The following is a 1,070-nucleotide window of genomic DNA, read 5'->3' on the forward strand; positions in this document are numbered from 1 at the left end:
TCTTCAGGCCGTAGTGAAAATGGAGTACATCATCATCAAATAACAACGTCAGCTAAAAATACAGAGCCTGTTTATTGTGTACGGACCAACTGTGCAAGCAATTTGTACAATACTTTGGTGTTAACTCCAATTTGGATACGAATTACTCATTTTCACAAACTTAAATTGGATTACACTTTATCTTTCCCAATTACTGAAAACATTTACTTAACACATACACATTTGGAACTTAACTTCGATGAAGTAAAAATACGAAAAGTTAATCTCTACTTCCAAAAATGTCGATGCACGCTGCAATTGTATTTCATTTCTTTCGCAAAATTTTGCACAGGATATTGTTGTTAATTGTTAGTAGAGGAATTCAGAAATGACTAGATCCTTTAGTTGAGGCAAGCAGGTATGTTCCCCGTGTTCTAGCCCTGCACTTAAGAGTCAATGAAAGAAAGTTTAAAAAAGAAAGCATTGTCTCCTCTGGAGACCCCGTCTGCCACGACCACATACCTTGATTCTTGCTTTCTCTATAAATTCTAGAGGGGCTTTCCCAAACTCAAATCCAACTCCAATCCAAGGAATCCAGCCCTTGATGCACGGGGGTCTACGCAAATTCTTCCGCTGAAGGAGTAAGAACAGAGCAAGGCAACCCAGGATTATAATCACTGTTGGGGAAATTAGTTCCATGTTTTTGTCCAGCACCTTCCAGAAGCAGAAAAGTGTGAAACAGTCCTGCCGTCCCTTGCTTCTTTTCTGTGGGCTACGGAACCTGTCGGGACTCCCAACCTTTCTGCTGCAACTTTTGCAGCTCTCCTTCGTAACTGTAGCTTCCTTCCTCTGTCCCAGTTTTCAGGTGATTTTTCCATTGTCGCTCCCTCCCACCTCCACTTCTCTTTGAATCTCAGCCAGCGCGGAAAAAATGCAAGGAGGGGCAGGGCCGGGCTAGGACTGACGGGCGAGAACCAGCCGCGTTGCCATGGAGGCCGGGGGCGGAGCCGCAGAGGGACCCGCGGCCGGCCAATCAGAGACGTAGCGGAGCCCGGCGGACTACATTGCCCAGTAACCTCCTGGGCTCCGCT

General features: G+C 45.9%; 1 protein-coding gene across 11 annotated transcripts in view, besides 2 other annotated features; it reads right to left on the bottom strand.

The window, feature by feature from the left end:
• CYP39A1 (cytochrome P450 family 39 subfamily A member 1) overlaps nucleotides 1–914 on the bottom strand; it is a 103,239-nt gene extending 102,325 nt beyond the window's left edge. For all 11 annotated transcript variants that reach the window (NM_001278739.2, NM_001278738.2, XM_017010924.2 and 8 more), the window contains exon 1: nucleotides 502–914. Coding sequence is in view for 10 of the 11 variants with exons in the window: in NM_001278738.2 (NP_001265667.1) it covers nucleotides 502–678 (177 nt within the window). In the remaining variant the exon portion in view is untranslated. The remainder of the gene's footprint in view (nucleotides 1–501) is intronic.
• Nucleotides 819–868: an enhancer, noted in NCBI's record as "active region_24653". NCBI's record gives its function as "activates an Ori minimal core promoter by ATAC-STARR-seq in GM12878 lymphoblastoid cells {active_cell/tissue: GM12878}" and the evidence as "EXISTENCE:reporter gene assay evidence [ECO:0000049][PMID:35858748]".
• Nucleotides 889–978: a silencer, noted in NCBI's record as "silent region_17272". NCBI's record gives its function as "represses an Ori minimal core promoter by ATAC-STARR-seq in GM12878 lymphoblastoid cells {active_cell/tissue: GM12878}" and the evidence as "EXISTENCE:reporter gene assay evidence [ECO:0000049][PMID:35858748]".

The sequence above is a fragment of the Homo sapiens genome, chromosome 6 (genome assembly GCF_000001405.40).
Source record: "Homo sapiens chromosome 6, GRCh38.p14 Primary Assembly".
Lineage (NCBI taxonomy): Eukaryota > Metazoa > Chordata > Mammalia > Primates > Hominidae > Homo > Homo sapiens.